At 34.3% G+C, this 23889-nt stretch overlaps 1 long non-coding RNA gene across 3 annotated transcripts in view; it reads right to left on the reverse strand.

Annotated features, from left to right (window-relative positions):
* The window catches only part of LOC102724934 (uncharacterized), a 181069-nt gene that overhangs the window by 153757 nt on the left and 3423 nt on the right, over window positions 1-23889 (reverse strand). For all 3 annotated transcript variants that reach the window (XR_001750707.2, XR_001750708.2, XR_943701.3), the window contains exons 2-3: window positions 16439-16522; window positions 13551-13714 (exon numbers count right to left, since the gene is read on the reverse strand). This is a non-coding gene — a long non-coding RNA (uncharacterized LOC102724934). The remainder of the gene's footprint in view (window positions 1-13550; window positions 13715-16438; window positions 16523-23889) is intronic.

Genomic DNA, 23889 nt, shown 5'->3' on the forward strand with positions numbered 1-23889 from the left:
AGGAGTCTCGAAAGAACAAGCAGACAATAGAAACAAACCCATAGGTGACACATATATTAGAGATAACAGACACATAATTTAAGATAAATTAATCAATAGCTTCAAGAAATGAAAGATGACAGAGAAATTTACCACACAAATGAAACCTAAACAAAATCAGATAAAAAATATAAATCTAAAACTATAGTCACTTAAACTCATATGTTAAAAGATAAGCTTAACAGTAGTTTGGAAAGAGCTAAAATAGGGATTACAACACTGGAAGGTAGCTCAGTAGAAAATATTGAGACTGATGTGGAGTAAAATGAATGGAAAGTACAGAAAAGAGCATAAGACATATGTGGGTCATGATAGAAAGGTCTATCATGTATGTTAACTTGAGTGCTGGAAAGAGAGCAGAGGGAGAATGTGGCAAATGCAATATCGCAGAGACTTTTACCAAGAATTTCTCAATGCTGAAGAAAAACTGCAAGCACAAATTCAGAACATCCTGTGTACCTGAAGTAGAATAAATATAAAGAAAACTATACAAAGAAAATCACAATGAGATACTTCTGCATAAAACTAGCAAAATGTATGGACAAGGAGAAAAACCTTAAGAGTGCCCAGAGGGTGAAAATACCATTTCTTTCAAAGAAGTGGAAGGGACAATAGAAACCAGGAGGTAATGCCATATCTTTAAAGTGCTTAAAGGGGAAAAAAATCCCTACTAAAGTAGAATTTTAGACTCAGATAATATGTCCTCCAAAAATGAAAGAATATAAAAACTAAGATTAATTATTAGCAGTAGACACAAAATAAAGAAAATAGTAAAGTATTTCTTTGAGCAAAATGAAAAAGAACCCAGAAGCAAATAGAAAAATGCAGAGAGAAGTGAAGATCAATGGAAATGGTAAATATGCATGTATATCTGAAAATACATAATACCTACAAAAAGAAATAAAGTACTTTGTGGTTTAAAATACAGCTAGAATTGGTAGGGCACAGTAGCTCATGCCTGTAATCCCAGCACTTTGGGAGGCCGAGGCCGGTGGATCACCTGAGGTCAGGAGTTCGAGACCAGCCTGCCCAACATGGCGAAACCCCATCTCTACTAAAAATACAAAAATTAGCAGGGCATGGTGGCTTGCGCCTGTAGTCCCAGTGACTTGGGAGGCTGAGGCAGGAGAACTGCTTGAACCCAGGAGGCGGAGGTTGCAGGGAGCTGAGATCGCGCCACTGCACTCCAGCCTGGGTGACAGAGCAAGACTCCGTCTCAAAAAAATAAATAAATAAAAATAAACAAATACAGCTAGAATTAAAATGCATGACAATATGAATACAAAAATCAAGAAATGGGTAAATAAGATAAAGTGTTTTATGGGTTTTGTATTTTCTGGAAATTATTAAGAGTGCAAATTTAAGATAGATGCTCTGGGCTTGGCCCAGCAGCATGTGCCTGTAGCTCCAGCTACTTGGGAGACTGAAGTTGGAGGATCACTTGAGACCAAAATTTGATACCAGCCTGGGCAACATAGCAAGACCCCATTTCCAAAAAAATAAAAATTAGCTGGGCATGGTGGCTCGAAACTGTAATGCCAGCTACTCAGGAGGTTAAGGTGGGAGGATCACTTGAGCCCAAGAGTCTGAGCCCAAGAGTATGATCATGCCACTGCACTTCAGCCTGGCTGACAGAGACCCTGTCTCAAGAAAAACAAACAAACAAACAAAAACAAAAACATACACACAAAAATAAAATAGATTATCTTAAATAAGAGTATGAGTTGCAATCTCTTGGGAAATCAATAAAAATATGTGAAGTATAATTACTAAACTAGCCAAATATGAGAGTGGATTCATGAAAAATTTAATTAGTGCGAAACAAGGAAACAACAGAAACAAAGTAAGTTAATGCAATAGAAAATTAATTGTAGTATGGTAAATATAAATTCAAATGTATCAGCAGTTACATTAAATATAAATGGACTAAATACAACATTGTAAAAACAAAGATGTGAGATTATTTTTAAAAGCTCTACTTTACGCTATTAAAACACACACACACAAACACATATGCCCTTAAATACCACAGAGCGGATGAAAGTAACGGATGGAAAAACAACTCAAAAATATGAATCAAAATAAAACTGATGTTGCTACAATGATATCAAACAAGGTAAACATTCAGGCAGCCTAATTTTATTAAAGACAAAGAGCATATTTTAATGATAAAAGGGTTAGTACCTGAGAAAAATACAGTGGTTTAAAATTTATACATCTACCTATCTAATGACATTGCTTCAAGCATATGAAACAAAAGAAATTGACAGAAATAGAAAGAAAATGAACAAATCAACAATCATAGTGGGAAATTTTAACATATTTCTCTAAGAAATGATAAATGGACAAAATATCAGTAAGGATACAGATGATTTTAGCAAGAAAATAAACACTCACGATGTAACTGACTTATTTAAAACATTGTGTTCAAAGGTGATAGGTATTCTTTCAAGTGCATGTGGAATGTATGCTAAAACAGATCATGTTTTATTCAATGTTGTTATAGGTTCAACACATTTCTGAGAATTAAAATCATAGTGCATTCTCTGATCTTATTGCTGTTGATTAGAAACTGAATTTTTTAAGTAGAAAATCCACAGATGTTCGAAAATTAATCAATGCACTTCTAGAAATAGAATAAAATTTCCTAATAATATATACAGATATTAATAGGTATCTACATAAAACTCATAATTAGTATCATACATAAACACAGAAACTTTTCTCCATGAGGTTGGAACAAGACAAAGATGTCCATTAATGCCTCTTCAGTTCAATATCTAGCTAGAGTTAAGCAAGAAAAATAACTGGAAGATATAAGGATTAGAAAACAAAAGAAAAAATGACATTATTGGCAGATGATGTAACTCTATATGTATAAAACTCAAAGGCTTCTACAGTAAACCAATTAATATTTATAAATAAATTTAGCAAGAGAACTGAAGGAATAGTCAATATTTACAAATCAATTGTACTTTTAAATACCACTAACAGACAATTAGAAAATGAAATTATAAAAATATACATACAATTTGCAACAGCATCCAAAGAAAGCAAATACCAAAAGAAAAAAATCTAATAAAATATGCATAAGATCTGCACAGGTAAAATCAAAAAAAAATTACTGAGAGAAATTAAAGACTATAAAAACTACAAATGAAAGGATTTACCATGTTTCTGAACAGAATACAATGCTGAAAAGATAGCATTTCTTTCAAAAATGATATATAGATTCAATCAAAATTCTAGCAGATATTTTTAAATATGGAAATCCACAAGATAATTTTAAAATCCATATGGAAATGTAAAGGGATAAGAATAACCAAGATCATCTTGAAGAAGAACAAATTCAACAGAGATATAACCCTGGAAATCAAGACTTAATAAAATATATAGTAATTAAGACAGTGTATACACAGAGAAAGGAGACAGTGTACACAAGGAGAACCTAAAGACAAATCTGCACAAATATGTAGTCTCTTGCTTTATGACAAAAGTGAAACTGCACTGGAATATTGAAAGAATTTTCTTCTCTATAAATACTGCTGAGCAAATTGGTTATACAAAAAGAAAAAATATATAAAGGACCTTACCTTTCAGCATACACAGAAATCAATTCAGGTGCTTTGTAGACATAAAAATGAATGGTAAAAATACATTTCCAAAAAATAAGAATATATTGTTATGCTCTTGGATAAGTAAAGCTATTTTTAACAGTACACAAAATGCACTAACCATTAAGGAAGACCACATTAAAATTAGGAGATTATATTCATCCAAAGACATCATTAAGAAAGTCAAAAAAAAGCAAACCATAGACTGGAAAGAGATGTTTGCAAGGCACATGTTTCAAAAGAACACATATCCAGAATATACCAACTACTACACCACCAGAAGAAAAAAGACAACTCAAAAAAGAAACGAGCAACGGAGTTGATCAGATATTTCACAAAAGGTAATATCCATGGCCAATAAATGTAGGTAAAGTGGTCAAATTTTATTAGTTGTCAAAGGGGTGCAAATTAAAATTACAGTGAGATATCACTATATATCCACCAAAATGGATAAAATTGAAGAGAATGACAACACCAAACCCTGGTGAGGATATAGAGCAACATCAGACGTTGCTGGTACAAGCATTAAAAAGTACAACTGCTTCAGAAAATTATTTGATCAAATCTACCACAGTTGAACAAACATACACCTTATTACACAGCATTTCCACTCCTAGGTATATTCAACAGAAATGTGTACTTGTGTGCCCAAATCACATGAAGAAGATTAACAGCAGCCAACAATTAAAGACAACCCATGTCTATCAAAAGTCGGGTTTAATGAATTTTAGTATATTTATGTGATGAAATATTCTACTGCAATGAAAAGGAATGAACTGCAATTACACAACACAATATAGGTACAACAAAGCGCATATGATACGTTACTACTTATATAAAGGTCAGCAACATAAAACTAATTGAAAGATAAAAGAATCAAGACAACAATTTCTTTTGGAGGGGGTAATGACAAAATGTGAGAAAGGGGAGGTTCTTATATGCTAATAATGTTCTATTTCTTGAACTTACTGAGTATTACACAGATATGTTCCCTTTTTAAAAGTATTTAATAATATGTACATTTTCATTTGTGCATTTTTAATGTCTTATTTCTTTCTTTCTTTTTTTTTTTTTTTTTTTTTTTTTGAGACAGAGTCGCGCTCTATCGCCCAGGCTGGAGTGCAATGGCATGATCTCGGCTCACTGCAACCTCCACCTCCTGGGTTCCGGTGATTCGTGCCTCAGCCTCCCGAGTAGCTAGGACTACAGGCACGCACCACCGTGCCCGACTAATTTTTGTTTTTCAGTAGAGACGGGATTTCACTATGTTGGCCAGGGTGGTCTTGATCTCTTGACCTCGTGATTCACCTGCCTCAGCTTCCCAAAGTGTTGGGATTACAGGTGTAAGCTACTGCGCCCAGGCTTTAATGTTTTATTTCAACAAAAAATTTACTTAACACAAAACAAACTGCAGGGCTGATGAAAATATAGTTCAGAAGAAAAGTTTTAGCTTCATCTTTTCCTCTCTTCACTGACCTGCTATACCAGTAAAGATATTGTCCCAAAATTTTAAGTTCTATATTGGCTTCATGGAGACTTTAGTCTTCAATTTTACTTATGGTAAAGAGAGGTTAAGGACATCAGTTCATACGTACCACCACAATAATAACTTCAAGTGAAAGCCACTATAAACCACAATAGAACACTTACATGTCTTAATTTTTATATGGTTGTACTTTTTTCCCCTTAAATCTCTAAGTTATTTTATTGAGAACAGTCATGTGTCATCTAGTGACAGACATGCAGTCAGAGAACTGCATCATTAGGCAATTTCATTGCTACAGGAACATCATAGTGTGTACTCACAGAAACCTGGATGGTATAGCCTACGACTCACCTGGGCTATATGCCATAGAGTGTTGCTCCTAAGCTACAAACCTGTACGGCATGTTACTGTACTGAATACCATAGGCAACTGCAACACAGTAGTAAGTATGTGTGTATCTACACATAGGAAAGGTACAGTAAACATCTGATATTATAATCTTTTGGGACCACTGTTATATATGTGGTCCATCATTGGCTGAAATGTCTTTATGTGATGCATAACTGCAATTGTCTTTTACTGTGTCCTTGCCACGTGCTTATGAAGTGAATAGAGAAAGATATTATCTGTCTCACAAGGCAAGACAAAATGAACCAAAACCACCACCAAAACCCATTTGGATTTTTACTAAAAAGAGGGTGATTGATTGATTCTGCACTTGTTTTATGGCCTTACCAACTCACACACATAATTTCTGCTTTGACCTAATCTGCTAAACACAGACTCATCTAGTCATGCCCAGAGACTAGTTTCTAGCATCTCCTTCAGTGAAGAATTCTATGAATATTTGTTTGAAACACAAAATGCTTTGGACAGCTGTCCACATTTCTCTCCAGAGCTGTTTTTCAGGGCTCCTTCATTTCTCCTAATTACATCAAGTGGAAAGCCCGAATGACGTGCTAATCAGCATTCAACACCTTACATACTTACATCCATAGCTTTACTAGGAGAGTAACTATTTTTTTTTTTCTAAAGAGAGAGGATACGACCTGCCTCCTGATGCAGAATTCTTATAGCTACATCAGCGAGAAAGAGAAGTGAACTACTTGTTCTTAAGGAACTGAAGATTGTTACATTCATACTGGACTGCCATGCAATGTGTGCAAAACTGGTAACAATTTTCCAAAAATTATAGGGGTATTCTGATGATAGTAACCTCATCCTCCCGAGAACAGAAGAGCTGGGGCATTTCTGAAAGGATTAATGGGACCAATTTGCCTTATCTCAAGAGATTGATGTATTCTCTCTGATTATGCTACAGTAGACTGAGAATTGACTTCTCTAAAGGGTAGTTGGTTCTAGGAGTGATCCAAATCTATAATTCTATCTTATGAAATTCTACAGGCTTTCTTTAAAAGGCTTATAATTCCTTGACTTCAATAAGGGGAATTCTCATTTTCTAACATATCTATGAACCACATCATTAATACAATCATCTATTTCTCCCCAATTTTAGGCACCAAAACTGGGGAGGGAATAGAGCAACATGGTGCTCTATTAAATCTAAATCTAAATTAAATCACATTTCCATTAAGGAAATGAGATTCAGTTCAATGTAACGGCTGTCATGAAATCTAGGCTGGGAAGTGGAATCAAACTTACTTTTCCTAATTTTAAGTCCAATGTGTTCATCCTAGTATTTTCTAAATTGTATGATATTAACAAGAATATCAGCTGTGAGACAGGAATTACAAGTGAGATCATGCAAGCTCAGAGCTTGAGAACTTTGACCACTTGGTCTTCTTGGTTTGTTTTACTTCTATACATCCCTACCATCCATGCTGCATATCCCCTAAGAAAATCTTAAGACTAACGTTACTGATATTCTAAGAAAAGCATAATCTTCTGCTATACTTTCAGAATTCAGTCCAAATTTCACATCTGAAGATCATGGTGAACTAACTTCTCTCATTCTCTCATCTTTGCCTATCATGGTGGTCCATCTAGTTTTGGCTCTACCAACTATTTCACTCAACTGGAGGAGATATTTACACATACACATACACACACACACATACACACACACACACGTGCTTGCACCTTTCTGGGATATGACTGGTTGATTAGAGGAAAATATTCAAAGATATTAGATGTGTTTAATTAGGATTCCACATGCGCCTATTATTTTAAGATGAGAAATAAAATGCTCTCTGAGAAGCCTTATCTAAAATTTGAATGGAATTTCCAAGTCATTCTGTTCTTGGTTATTGTGATAGTTCAATGTTGTGGAAATCATTACAAATTCTGTTTTGCTACTATAAAGAAGGATGAGACCTTGAAATGAATGAATAAATCTTCCAGATTTTAAGTTATTAGACCTTCAACTTTTACTCACAAAATCTATTACTGTAAATAATAAACATGAACAATCAAACAGCACTATAGTCTTTCATCCCAGAATTTATTTCAAGCATATCATTGATAATAGAAATACCTTTATATACTCAAAATACTTTTTGAAGGAATCTCATAACCAACCTGAAGAAGGAATGAATTACTTATTAGTATCTTGCCCCTGAAATTTTAAAAATGACCTTTGAAAGATATTTCCAAGTCAACCAAGACCAACATATGAGAAATAACTAGGGGTAAATTGATTTTTGTCACCCAAATTCTTTTGCAGTTAAAATAGCTTCTCACTCACCTACATATCAGGGTTTCCCTCATGCTGTGGATCTTGAATATTGATTTTCATATAAACATTTTTTAAAAATGATGTTCTGAATTATAAGAAATGTAAACTCTTTAGGTATTTGAAATTGAAAAGAGTTGAGAAGAGTTGCTTTTAGAAAGAGCAAAGAGGACAAGTGAAAAATTTAAAAATGGAATGAATGGAATTTAAAAATGCAAATGAGTGAATCATATTTTTCAGAGAAGCCAGATGTCCACTTACTTCCATGTTACAAATCAGTCTAAAGGCTTATTTGTAAGGAAAGGTTTACACAATAAAAACAAAATGATGTATTTAGAAAAACAGTCTATTGATCCATCTGGTTTCAATGTCTATATAAGAAAGAAGGAAAAAGATGGCATTTTGGTTAACGTTACCTCAATTATCAAGACTAGAGTTACTGAATCTTCCTTCAAGAAGATCGTGAATAGACATTACTTTTTTTGCAAAATTTCTTTGTGTGTACTTCATAAACATTTTCTGTAAAGAAGGACCACAGGGTTTATAAAGAATTGTATTTCCAAAAAGGTTTAAGAACCTCTGCTTCTCTAGCCCAAATATCTACATTATGAGATCGCATTGTTTGCACCTTTTTTAAGATAGATACTACCAAAAGACACAAGTATGGTGTTTTTTAAGAAGTCAAACATCCTGCAAGTAAAACTTTTTTTTTTTTGTAATCGTTCAATTTGATGAGTTCAATCAATACCCTTTGGAAATGGGAAAAGGAGTAGAAATGACAAAGTACTTAATTACAAATTATTATTATAATCATTTATCCTCATAAATGATCATATAAAAAGCCACATACACCAGGCAAAAATAAATCTTAAAATCATTATGATACTTTAAAATAGTTTTACAATAATATGGCTAAGGGCTTTGGTATTTGCATTAACAAATACTCAAATCAGTTAACTATATTTGTTCCAGTCCAGCCAAATAAATAAATACATAAATAAGCAGAATAGAAATATTTACTGCTAACTATGCAAACATCATTTCAAGTAACTGAATTACAGAATTTAACAGTATCATATCACTTGAAAATTTGTGAATGGGAGCATCATAAGAGAAAAAAGAAAGTATGCATCCCCACGGTTCTTCAAACAATTCAAAGTTGGCCAAAATGTATACTACAGATTCTATTACTTGTATTTTTTTATTTGAATGCTCTGTTAGAAAGTGATACTTCAAATTTCTTAATGTATTATCATTATCATTATTTCACTGTTCTATTTTTTAAAAGGTTTACATAGCAGAGAAGAAATGGAGAATTATCAATTACTGAGAAAATGTGGGTTGAAGACAGCCAACACTTATTAGTAAGGCTCCTTCACGCCCACACCCATATAATCCACCAGGTACTGTTATCTCATCAAAATTAAGTATATTTTCCAGCTCATTTGACGAGATTTAGTTCAACTTTTTGCTTTATATGAATAGACTTTGTCTAAATAAAAATTTTAAATAAGGGGGTTAGATAATGATCCTTGCCTAATATGGTATTTCTAAAATGCTTCTTTGTTTGAGTTGAGGTATTAGAACAATCCTTTTTTGCCATCTGTACTTATATACAATTTATTAGAATCAAGAAAACATAATAAACTTAATAAATGACCGGTCTGGGTAGTGTTTCATTTCTAAAGCTTCAGAATACTTATGGAAGCTAAGTAAAAGAAGAAATCCACTTTTTACTTAATTAGTAACTAGGGCAGTCATTTCATACAGGAAACAGGAGCTCAGTAAATGCTTCTCTCAAGGGGGTGATAATATATATTCATACTGTACACAAGAAACAGCGATCTTGTTGGTAAGGATACAATCTTATTTGGTCAGGAAATAAACTCGAAGCCTTATTTGAACCTATTATTTTCTGAAATCACCAAACCATGCAATATGACTTGGGCTTATAATAGTGGATCATCTAAATCCTTGCTTCCCACAATGGGTCTGCGGAGAGTAGCATAAGCATCACCTTTGAGCTTGTTTGAAATGCAAATACTCCCACCCACCTGAGGCCTATGGAATCAGTATCTTCAATATAACAAGATTAGGGGGATTTGTACAGATTAAATATCAGAAGCCCTTGTCTAGATAAGTGATTCCCCAAGTGTGATTCTAAACCAACAGCATCAGCATCATCTATGGGTCTGTAAAAAATGAAAATTAATCGGTCCTACCCCAGGCCTACTGCTTTAACAAGTTCTTCAGGTAGTTCTTAAACACATTATAGTTTGATAATCACTGACCTAGATCATTAAATTCTGATTTTGTTTCAAATATGTTCTGTGTACCAAGCTCTCCTGCTACCTGCTTCTTTTTCACACCTACTAGAAAAAGAATCCTTCTAACACATTGTATAATGGGAAAAAAATTTTTGAGTATTTAACTGTTCTTGGATAGCCCTAGAATTACTCAACTATTTAAAATAATTTGAGTATAGATTTCTCTTCTTGGGCTTATTAATATTCCATTATCTTTCCTGTTATCTCAGAAAAATATCATAATAATTTACATATATTTACTTTTCATGCACATACACATGGAGATATATTATTTTTTAAATGGAGGTATTGAACGAGTGGAAAGTAGTCATGATATTAACCATACACCTACATTTAGTACTTATTGTTTTTCCCCTCCCTTCCTATGTAATGTAAAAGAGACAAGAAAGCAAGCCAATACCAAAACAAAATGATAGAAGCAGAGCTTTACGATAATGTATGTTTTTGAAGCCATGGAAAGTGTTAAAGCCAAAGACCTTCTAAAAAACATTAATTAACTTTGAGCCTTCCTGTGGCAATCTTCAGTCTACTGACAAGAGTTTGAAGTGGTCCCATCTTTATCGTCAATCTAGTTCAGCAATCACCTCCTGTATGAATCTTCTAGCCTCTCTGAGGCAAGTTAGGAGCAACTCCTCCAACTTCCCATAAAAATGTTGGCACATTTTTATCATAGCGCTGGCTGTGTTGTGTTGTTGCCTTTGTTTTATATCCTCATTCACCAGATGATCAGTATTTTGAAGTTTTGAAACTATATCTTAGTGGTTTCTGAATTACTGACAGACAAGATAGACATGCCCTTTAGTCAATACTCGGTATTATTTTTGAGTGAACAAATGAGCAAATGAATGAAACCATCATAGTAAATATAATATATCCTCTTGGGGAATAAGAGCTCAAATAACAATGAAAAAAAAATCAGGTATCAGCAATAATCTTGCATCACTTGTTATGTCAACAGTGTTAGAATATCGTTTGCCTTGTACCCATGTAGGCACTTTTGACAACTATAGCTGTGACACAGAATCATCCAATACCAGTATCCCAAAAGACCTGAAATATAATCAAATGGATGCTATGAATTTCTGCTAATGAGGCAATACAAAGCCCTAATTAAATGAATTGCTCAAATTTGTATTGCATGTTATTGAAAAAAACAGAAATAACCTATTTATTTTCCCATTGCCCAACACTGCCACTTAAAAGATCGTGAAATAACTTAACTTACCAATTATGTGCCTTTCACACTTAAATAACTATGAAAATTATGATGTATTTCATCTGATGTTTTATATCTGTAAATAAAAAATTACACTGTCCCATCATTACTATCCTGCTCCATCTTACCATTTGGAACAGACTTGTTCCTTGTCTGTTTTAGGGTATCCTTGAGAAATTTCAAGGCCCCATTTCACTTTATAAAGCCCCTTCCTCCCTCAGTACCCATGAATAAATCTCCTTAGTGTTAAAGAAGTTGTGCATACATGCCAAGAAGGGAACAGACAACTTAACACTGCCTGGGAGGAGGATTTCCTTTCCATGCTTTGGTCTCAGGCAAGCTTTTATAACGTTGGATGACCTTTTGCTCCAGAATACTCAGTCTATTGTACAATGACTTCCTTTTCTTGGATATAGAACGAAGAGATCAGGCTTCAAATCTTTGAGGTGGAGCATCAGAAATTTACCATATGAAAAATCCCGAAGATCTCTGAAGCCAGAGAATCAACATCGTTAACAGTGCCATGTCTTACCCAACAATTACCTCCTTCCACATTTTAGCTTATTTTAGTTGCAGAAGGCTAGTCAAGTGTCATGTCTGAAGAAATGCAGATAAATAGGAAAACAGGAAAAAGAGAAATGTGGTCACGGTGAAGAAAATAATGAATACAAACTCGTCCTTATGCATATAATCAGTCATTAATTTGATTATACATTTATTCTTTTTGCTTCTTAGACTTTCTTAGTGATAATGTTTACATAAATCTTTTGTACAGGTGATAAAATTAGTTCAAGAAACAGTATCCCCGGGACTGAAATAAATATTTCAGGTTAAATATATTCAAAGTGTTTCTCATTGAGCTAAAGGCAATGCAGTGTGTGTGTGTGTGTGTGTGTGTGTGTGTGTGCCTAAAAACCTGTGCTAGAAACTAAAAACATGATTTTGAGATATTGAAAGGCAAACTATATTATTTCTGTAAGCCTTTCTCCAGCTACACATACTGCAAAATGATTGCATAGATGTAATATCAAAGTCATAATAATTTCTTAACCATGTGGAAGGAGATATTTTTAAAATGAATATCGAAAGATGCCCTAAACTTCAGTGACAGCAAACATTGATTTATAGCAAATTCCCCAGCAAAACAAGTCTGAAACAAACAGATTAATTTTAGAACTTAATTGGTTCAAATATCTAATTCTTTCAGATCATGGAAAATATAATTCCTAAAATAAGAGATCTAGAGTATATGACCTTATAAGTCTTTAACTCCATAAAATGTGTTAATGATTATTCAGGTGCTTACCTAAAATGAAACAATGACCCTCGAATATGAGAAGAAAACAAGTATCTGTAATATTGTGAATGACATTTTCCCTGCAATATCAGGATTTTTGGGGGGGCTGGGGATTTAAATACTGGTACTCATTTATTTTTGCTGATACAAAAATACTATTAGCCATGCCTATGTTCAATTAGAAGGAAAAAAATGAAGAAGTTTAATCGTTGGCTAAAAGCTCTATGTGCTAAATTCAGTTCAGGCTTAATTTGTGAACAGAAATCTTTTAATGTATATTTGGTTAAGGATATATGATCTAGTCACCAATGGTGAATGGCTTGGGATATAAGGAGGAGCATAAACCAGCTGTGAATATTTAAACTAAACATAGAAAATTAAATGTATTTTCATCTATTATTTTATGATAATATTACAATCTGTTTTAACAACAGCATATCCTATTTTATTATTTTGTAAATTCTCAATCCCCTCCTCCAAAAAAATTAGATGTCAGAAGTTCTCACACAGTCAAAACCCTCCAACATGAAATTTATAATCAAGGACTCAGCCCGGAAGCACATCTAAATTCTGTTCAAATAAAATACCTCCTCCCTTAAATGTTCTCACATATCAAATCACTGTATTCATCCCTATGTATTATTCGTACCATAAAAAAACACCCATGTGCTTTAGAAAAAGGCTTTTACTCTTGCAAAATTATTGAGATGTCTATCTGAAAAATCAATGGCAGTTTTGGTGACATAATTACTCTCATTCTCAAAAGCCAGGCATTCATAAATGTGGAGCTATGTCTTTTTCTGATGGTAAAGTTCAGGATTTACTAATTGGTACAATCAGAGAGCACTGGTTTCGAGGCTGCTGCAGCAGTATACTTACCTAAATTGAAGTGCAAGCTAAATCCATAGTGAGAAGCACTCACTTACTCATACAAACTGATAAATTATACTGCCGAGTAATCAGTTTGCATAGGCAGTTGTTCATAGACGTGTCTCTGCTCCATCAATGCACTAAAAAGCCATGTAGGGTCTCACTTCTTCACCCTCCAAAGGACAAGTCACAAAACAAATCACAGAGAAGGGAGTCAGAAAATACAGAAGCCCTATCTTCAGCCCACATACCATTTATAACAGTGAAATTAGAATTATATCAGTAAAATGGAAGAGCACTGAAATAAAGACTTCTCATGTGAGAGTAAAGAAATATAGAGACATAATGAAAATAAAGGCTGAAAGCCAGTGTTAGTATTCCGACTTCAAAGTTCATGAAGTAGTCTGTAAATAGCATGCACTTTTTAACAGGCACATTCTATAGCTTTCAAAAATACTGCTATATAGAGGGTATGTTGCATTTATTTAGTTATTGCTTACAGCAGAATAGACATCTGCCATTTACTTATTTTGCTACCTATAACTAGGAGCCTATGGTAGCCCCACCCCCACTGTATGTGTATTATTAATTCTGTAAGGATACTATTGCTGTATTTACATATATACAACTTGAGGTGCAAGGAAAAAGCAAGTAATCAGGAACTTCAATTTGGTGTCTTAAGAATCGTCCTGTATTCTTATTATCCTGCGATTGTGCTCAGAGCTAGAGAATTTAAAATGAAAAAAAAAAAAACACCTAATACTAGCAATCACTATATTTCCTGTAATCAAGTCCATACTTCTTTTCATATTCTTTCACTGGATTGCTTTTCTCTGTTTATTGTTGTTGCTAAACAAGGTGAGAGTTTAGGCGACATTTTTCAATGATGACTTCTTTTGCAATAACAAAATTCTTAAATGTAGTCTCCATTTTCCTCCTGCTATGTGCTATCAAATTCATCTTTGTATGGGAGGCACAAACTAAAATGAGTAAATTGCCTTTAGTAGGTAGTACTCTTTTTCTGACACTAGGAAGTAAATTGTCAAAGAGTTACACAGGGTTTTAGCTGCAGGATTCCCATTGACTTTAATGGGAGTTGCAAGGAAAACACCCCATGCAAAGCTTAGAAAAGTAGGGGTTAGTTTTCTTTATGGTCTCCACTGTATTTTGTACTCTCTAGCCTTGAACACTCTGTCTTCACTCACCTTCTGTTCTCCCCTTTCTTTGTAGCTTATCCCTCAAATAATATAAATCTTAGGCCTTTTCACTTAACCATCCATGTGCATAGGTACTCAACACACTCTATCCCAGCACCACTTCCACGGTGTCACAATTAAACAACTCATTATCCAACCTGCTGACCCTCAGCCATTCACCATTGTCCAGTTTATGTGGGGAAAACATTTTTGTGGAATATTGTTACAATACTAGCTCGATAATTTTTGAAACATGTACTGGATTTCAAATAATATCAAAATTACCTAAATTATATTCTTTCTTCCTTCTTAAAAATGCCTATTAATATTACTACTCTCATTATTGTTTAACTTTTAAGTACTTTTAGGATTTCCTGAAGGTTTGCATAGAGCACAACTAAATAAGCTTCTTGGAAATACATCAGGCATGGCCAGGCAGTTAATATAGCGACTTAAGCAGCAGTTAGCTAAAGTGCTTCATAGGACAGCTAGTGAACAACATAATAGATACCATGATGTTAGCTCCTGGCAGAATGGGTACAAGATTCCATCATGTCTGGGGAATGAAGGATACCCTTGTCTGTGTAATGGAGAGAGCAATACCACAATTGGCTGATGTCACTCTTATATAATACATTGTAACACACACACACACACACACACACACACACACACACACACACACCCCTATGGGATTGTTCTAATTCTCCAGCAAGTTTTGATTGTGGAGAAAGCCAAACTAGGGTAGCTTTGAGCTAGATTTTTATGAGTGTTTGCTTCTGTATAGAATGCACAAAAGGCCCAATCTTCGTGCCTACCACTTTTTTCATTACTGTGGCATTAATTACAAAGTAAGATGCCAAGTAATTGGCAAGGGGAACACTACTTGCTTATTTATCAGATACCTTTATCCTATGCTCCTGGCTTCTTTCCTTTACTGCACTTTTATAATAGATTACCAGGATAGCAATGTAAAGAGTAAAAGGTCTTTCCTTTGCAAATTTTTAACTCAACTTACCTTGTACTCTTTGTCTTACTTCAAATCAGAGCAATAAGAAAGGATTTGCACCCAGCAACATATTATTAATCAAACACCATATACAATCACATAAAGTCCAAAACAAAGCAAAGAGCACGGTCTGCCTAAAGCAAATGGCTTAATACCCCCCAAAATCTTCCCAGTTCATTCTGCACCTATGGATTTATTATTCCTATGAAACACTGTGGAAGTGTGCCATAAAATACCAGACACATCAAGCAAACATCCTGAAATTCTCTCAACAGTCAGGGTACCTAAAAAAATACAAGGACATATTTTTCTCAATTTTTCATCTCATTTTCCCCAGTTATTATCGATTACTTCTATTCTATCTCTATGTTGATCATGACAAAAGATATGTTTTTCATAAAATAATACATTTGGACATAATAACGAGAACCTTGGTTCCCATCTTCCCGTTGCCGAATAGCACGTCTCGTGCTGTACAGGCGCAGTTGGCTGTCCAAGGACCCTGATGCCAAATTGCGGAGGATATTCTTGTCGCAGTGACAAATTGCTTGCTGGTGGGCTGTGCAGAGTGTTATTCTGGCAGCATCGGAGTTGTCTACGTGTCTGTCACTTGGTTAGGCTGCTTCAATGCTAGGTGATTCCACCCCACTCCCCACCCCCTTTTCTTTTTTCAACGCATTTTTCAGACTTACCTTTGCTTCTCAGTGAATGGGGACTTTAACATTCACTTGACAATGAGCTTATAAAAATGCCTCCCAAGTTCTCCGTACAGGTATCTGTAGGGTGAGAGAAGGATTTTTTCACAGTGCCATACTTGTTTTCCATACAAACCTACAGGCTGCCATTATAGCCACCCACATTCCGGTTGGCAACGCACTTAGGCAGTGAGCGCCTTAATGAATCCAGACAAAACTGCACAGCATTCCTGACACACAGGAAAATCATGCATTTCCATGATATTTCAGGGTAATTTAATTCTTTAGTGTGTAAAATATTGATGGTCAATATTATTTGATAACATTTCAGCAAAGAGATTATTCTGCTTTTGATCTGACACTTATTTTTTAAGCTAAAAAGATTTCCTTTACAAGTTCCTTATATTAAGTATGTTTGTCCAAAGAGGATCTGCTAGAATAAAAAAAGCAGAAATGTAAATGAGTAGTCAACATTCTGTAAACAAATTAGCTTGTAAACATACTGTAGACAATCCCAACAGTGTCTGTTGACTACCTATGAAGGTATGTAATTTAATGCCTTCAGATAATTTGTGGGTAAAGTCTAACCAGCTGACATTTTGAGATAAATAATAAATAACACTCCTATTTCATTACTGAGTTTATAATTAAGTATTAATGTAAAGGCATTTTAAAAACTATAGCTACAGGAGATACAGTATTTTAAAATTGTTTTGTGAAACTGAAAAGGATAATTGTAATGAACACAAAAGATGTAGGAGGCCTTTTTTAATTCTATGGAGTGACAGTAGATTTTCTCCATAAAACACATCCTGCAGCAGTGGTGTGTTGTTTAAGATTTGAGGATGTATAAAAGAATCTAATGGATTTTTTCACAAAAGATAATATACAATAGAATAATTCTTAAAGGAAATGAACAGGCTTTTAATCTTGTGGAAAAAAATGTTTGTTTTTGCTCCTCTCATATATAAATGTATTTGTTGGTTTTATTGTTCAAACTGTAGCCCTGAATTAAGTGGATTGTAAAGTTCTCCTAAATACTTTAGACTTGTTTTCAAGGAAATATTTGTAATTTTTATACATATATACATACATATATGTATATATACACCCCAAAGATTTCACTTACACTAATTAGAAGAAATAATAAGAAAGCCCTAAGTAGTGGAACTTGGAGAGAGTCTAAAAGATATTTTAACAGTTCCATTTGCAGGATGCATAGGTAAAGTTTTCAGCCCAACGTGATGTTTAAATTAGTTTGTTTTCATCGTAACTACTGACGGGACTTAAGTTAGCCCTCTAAACTGCATGGGTATTTCCAAACTAAACTTATTAAATTATCTTTTCCCAACCTTTTTTTTGTGTTTTGCGTTTTCTCTAAAACCTGGCAGCACAAATTTTCTAGCTTTCATCACTTAAGAGCATCTAATGTGAGGCTATTGATCCTAAAATTGCTAGGGTTTTCTAAGAAGTCTCCTTGTTGGTGCTGCACTGTTGTCACTGAAGTGGTTAAAGCTTTGTTTGTTTGTTTTGTTCTGAATGGCTCTTAATGGATTAAGCTTTAGGCTTTCACCAAAGCAGTAACTGATTGTTAAAAGTAGCAAGGAATAAACTAACCACAGGGTGTGTGGGTGTGGGTGTGCACATGAGTGTTTGTGTATGTGTGCATGCGTGTGTGTGTGTGTGTGTGTGTGTGCATGCACTGGCAGAGCAAAGTAAATTATAATCTTTAAGTTCTGAAACTCAGCTAGTATAAACATATGTTAAATAAAATATTTCTTACTATATATCTTTAACATATCTATCCTCTGCAAATTGCCAGAATTATGTTAATCAATCCTGACAATGGATTAACTCTATTTAATCAAGAATAATTGAATTAAACTGTATAATAACCCACAGCTATTGAAATGGATAACATTAAATTTAGTTGCAAGATTTACCTATGAAATTAACATGCCATTTTGTTTTCATACTAAAACTCTTTTTCATAATTTTACCAATAATATTCAAAATGGTGATTTCAAGTTATATAAACCTTTAAAGCTCTCACTACAACATTAAGGAATATATATGCACTTGTCTTTATAATATTATGCTGTGGTTCTGGACTCATATAATTAGGTTTTGGCTTAAGTGTGATATTAAGTAGAAGATTAATGACTTGACGAGTAAAGAAACACCCTTATCTGCAGAAACAGATGGAAATGCATGAATTTATATGACTATTTAACACAGTGCCAGCTCCTCTATAAGAGGAGGACTTTATTCAAGGTCTCAGTACCAATCCATGGTGACTCCAAGAGCTAAATACTCAAATTAAAAAAAAAATGTTATCCCATTACACAACTCTCTTAATGGGTATGATGGACAAAACACTAGACAGTTTTCAATCACCCCTCCTGTTGTCCAGGAATGGCATACACTGCCATTCTTGAGTATCCCTAGGCACTGGTAATGGATGGCGACTACCTCTGGCAGAGAATGGCTAACTGCTCTTGGATTTGCTGGAGAGCAGTTGCGTTTCTTTTATTCCAATGGGAAAGTTGCGAAAGTCAAGAAGAAATGGATTAAAATAAAAATGGCCACTGTTTCAGCTTTATATAACCTGATTTCTTAGCCAAAAACCACAAGGTGACAGTCCCTTGGTAAATTTTCAACATGGATGATCCAAAAAGATGCAGCACAGCATTTAGGCCCCTCTGAATGCCATATTTGAAATGTTGTATTTAGGGAGTACAGTTGTCCCTCAGTATCCACCAGGGATTGGTTCCAGAACCCCTGCCTTTATCAAAATCTGTGGATGCTCAAGTTTCTTATATAGAGTTGCGCAGTGTTTGCATATAACCTATGGATATCCTCCTGTACACTTTAAATCATGTCTAGATTATTTATAATACCTAATGCAATGCAAATGCTATGCAAATCATTGTTACACTGTATTCTTTGTATTATTATAGTTGTGTTGTTATTTCTTATTGAGTTTTTCCCGGAATATTTTCCTTCTGAGGTTGGTTGAATCCTCGGATGCTGAATCCATGGATACAGACAGCAAATTGTACATCTCGTTATAATTAAGTTACTTTAAACATGGGAATTAAAATGAATATTGTGCCATTGTGTTTTGATCCTAAAACTACTTTTCATAATTTTACCAGTAATATTCAAAATGGTGATTCCAAGTTATATAAACCTTTAAAGCTCTTACTAGAACATTAAGGAATATATATGCACTTGTCTTCATAATATTATGTTGCAGTTCTGGACTCATACAATTAGATTTTCACTTAAGGTGATATTAAGTAGAAGATTAATGACATGGATATTGTCTTTCATACTTGCACATGTAAGTACAAATGAACAGCTTGTTTTATGTCTTAGGGTATTATCTCAATTCACTAAATTTTATAAATAAAAGAATAGCAAAAATTTCTCTTCCTCATAAGTCTTGCACACAAAAGATATGAAGCCTTGGAGGAACTTTCTAATTTCCATCTCATACTTGTAAAAAATGCAATGAATTGAATTGAAAGGGAGGGTATATTAAAGGGAATGCATAAGATTCAAATGAGGGTGCATTTAGCATGTAGAGGGAATGATCGATTCCACTATATGCCTGTGCAGTCTTTGTAATTTTCAAAATTTCATTCAATGTGCTGATATTCTGATAACAGAACTAACTGCCACTATAACTTTAGAGCCTACCATTAAGAGAAGGTATTTCAATGAATGTGATAAAAAAGAAGGCGATTTTTCCCCTTGCATGTAATATTCTAAAATTAAGGTGGGGAAAGTGTTATAAAACCTAGATTAATAGCTTTAGTCAATGACTAATTTGCTAATTGTGTGACTCCCAAAACGCCAAATGTAGTTAATATTTATATTAAAAAGATGATGCATTTATAAAAAGCAAGGTCTCTGTGTCATAATCATTTCCTGAGGCATTGTACCAAAATAAAGAGGGCAGGGGGTGGCTACTAAGGCGAGTTCTTTCCCCCTACCTCTTTTTTTTCCTTTGTAAGATCTGGGATACCTCTAATTGACCCACTGTACTTTGTTCCTAACACCTTTTGAAAAGCAAAACAAACAAGCTGTATGTACAAACGCTTAGGCCCTCTTTTTGGTTGTGCCATTTTTTTTATTGTATATTCCAGTATTCCCTCATTTCACTTTCCTATTATTGTTTTATCGTCCCTGCTCACATCATCCCCATCCTGGTTCATATTCTCTTGCACTAACATGCCTCAAGTCTCCTCTGCTCTTGTCACTCCTTTGTCAAAAAAAAAGGAGGAGAGGCACTAAGGAAGGACATGGCCCAGGACACACCCTGATCTTTTCTGTTTACACCACCACCTGCAAAAGAGGAGCAAACTTACCACAGTTAGAGTGAAAAGCTTTGGCCTCTCCTATAGACTAGGATAAACAAGGCAGAAATAGTGTTTGTTAACCAGGCTGAACTATTATGAAGATTATACACAACATAGTAGCTCTAGAAACTCTCAGGAATGTAGGCCATACCAGGTTAACTAAATGGGAACTCACTAAATCAGGTGAAATGTATTGACCCCCAGACATCCAAAGGCTCAAGTTTAAATAACTGAATAAAGACTTGAAAAAAATTATGAGTATGAAAGAGTACTTAGCACACTGGCAGCACTCCATTTAAGAACAGAAACACGTTTGCACTTTGGAGAAAAGTTCAAAACTTCCCAGAACTGATCATCAAAGAATTGATTTCAATAGTGCTTGGGCTTTAGATACCACAGTAGCAAGATGAAGCATAATTTTAAAGTATTTTCTTAAAATATGTCTCCCCAAGTTTTCATTAAATTTTTACTCAGAGTGGAAAGTCATACATGTTTGGAAGTAAAACATAAAATAATTCTATTATAGGTTAAAAACCGGAAGTGTAGTCCAAAGCTAATACACTGACTGGTCCCTCTTTACATAGTTTATCTCCTGTAGAAGACATTGGGTAAAGATGAAACGGATTATAAAATGTATTTGGTTTGGGGATCATAGAAATGATTTACACCTATAGATAGGCTCAAGTAGCTTGAAAAAGTAACATTTGCAGTAAGACCCTTCTCTTTTTTGGATGGTAAAATACAGAGAAAGGAATTTCAGAGGAGATATTCATTTGTATGCCTATTGCCAGAAGGCTTTGCCTTTTCACTTAACTCTCAATGTTTTGAATAAAAATGCTAACTTTCCTCGAAGAGGTTGTAAGGACTTGCCCCTTTATATCTATGTATGCAGAATATTTGAAGTGCTAGAAATATATTAGCATTTCCAAATGTCATTAGTAATATTGCCGCTTTGCATTTGTCAGTGTATGGATGTATATATACCACATATTGAATGATTGCAATCTATAATTATGTTTGATGAAGAATGCATTTTATTGTATTAATGTTCATGGGGGTATATTTTTATTATAAGTAGATACATGGATAGGTAGGTAGACAGGCAGATATATAAGATAGATAGATAGATAGATAGATAGATAGATAGATAGATAGATAGATAGATAGACAGACAGACAGATAGATGATAGATAGAGCTTTGGTAGAATGAGTTTTAGCATGGAATTATTTTTGGTCCTTAGATAACTATCTCAGGCCTTATTTTCCTCTAGATAAATGGCATATAATGATTGTTATCTATTTTTAAGGAATTACAAATCAAAGAAATCAGTTTTTCATAGTGGATTCAAACACCAACTTGCAGCATATACTGATGGTCAAAATGTCCTCAAAACATCCTAATAAGCAGAAAAAATGTCAAGGAATATGATACAAATGTCTTATGGTATTAATATTCCAGACCCCAGGTTCTGAATTCCTTCAGAAGAAAATTTCAATCATTCTTGTATCTTAAACATCCACATCTCTTCCAATGGTACCAAGAGTCTTTGTTCGGTCCCATGGATGCTCAGCAGCATGGGTGTTGACTGACTGTTCTCAAAAGAGAAACTGTATCCAGCCTAGGTTTCACCGCTACCAATTCTGTTATTTTTTCCTTGAAGAGTCAAAATTTCTAACTCTACTTTTGGGAGACTCCAGTTTATTCAGATGTGTAACACAAGCACAGACATAAACTCATTTAAAATACTTCAAAAATACATAAATACTAAGCATCTCCCAACACCACTCATCCACCCTACCTTACATGCACTGCCTCCCCCACTTCTTTTCAGAATGAACGTTACAGAAAGAATAAGGAAAAGATGTTTTGAAATAAAACAAAAAGGGTCACTGCCATAGATGGCAATGCGACGAGTGAAGCTGAACAGTAGCAGTGGTCAGTGGATTCCTTTTTGCTTGATCACTTTGCACTCACAAAAAATCAGTTAGGGTTGGAATATAGAGAAACTAACAGAGCATCCTATTTGAAGCACCTACTATGTGTCAGGTGCCAGACATAAATTAAATATGGTGAAGAATTTTACAGTCTGAGAAAAGTAAATTTTTTTGGTAAGTGCTTTCTCTATAAATTGCCTTAACCCATTTCAAGTGAAGATATCTCCAATATAAGAACATTAGGCAGTTGGTACTATTTGACTTTGATAATGTACTTAGAAAAGAATGCCTGGAACATAGTGGAAACTTAAATATTTGTTGAATGAGTGAATGGTTATAAGTACTTTTCAAAGACAAAATAAATCATCTGCCACTTCTAATGCATTTGGAAAGACATCAATAAATAGCTATTGTAAGGAAGATTGCAGATGCTAGTTAAGATAATATAACTGTGTAGTAGTTTATTTATTCAACTATAGAATTTTTGTTCAGAACCCCTGGGGGGAAACTTTTGTTGTGATTGCTTCTAGGCTGGCAGTCAGTGACTCTACTCCAGAACAAGATCTCAAACCAAGCCCATGTCCTTTCTTTATGTCCCTGCCATTTAACCATCCAGTTGTTAACACATTTTAAAATTTGACAGGTTATTTCACTTCCAAAATGATACTAAGAGTCACACATGTCAGAACTCTACTTGATAAGTTGTGTTCATTTCAAATGTGGTATGTGAGCACTGAATCCTTACTCTTTAAATCCTGCAAAGTGTATCAATAATTATGCCAAATCCATCCAACAGTTGATTGAGGTGTTTTCAGTTTGATATGGGTGTCAAAATGCGAACATTAACTTTATTCAGATCTTTGCCTGATGTGTTGAATGGGGGAAAAATCCATTCATACATCACAGATTCATCCTTAATGCTGGAAATTAGAGAAAGGAATCTCAGATTCCACGCACATTTTCTTTGTGGTTACAGAGGTGACTTTGCCACCTGGGATGAGTTTGTCCTCATTATACCCAATTATATCTGCCATAAGTAAAATTTTAAGAAGGATATAAATTTGTATAATTCTCACATGATGCTTACAAAGAAATCATTTTTGTGACTCTAATTTGTTATCTATTTTGGAAAGATTAATTATCCCT

Source organism: Homo sapiens, chromosome 14, assembly GCF_000001405.40.
Source record: "Homo sapiens chromosome 14, GRCh38.p14 Primary Assembly".
NCBI classification, from domain to species: Eukaryota; Metazoa; Chordata; class Mammalia; order Primates; family Hominidae; genus Homo; species Homo sapiens.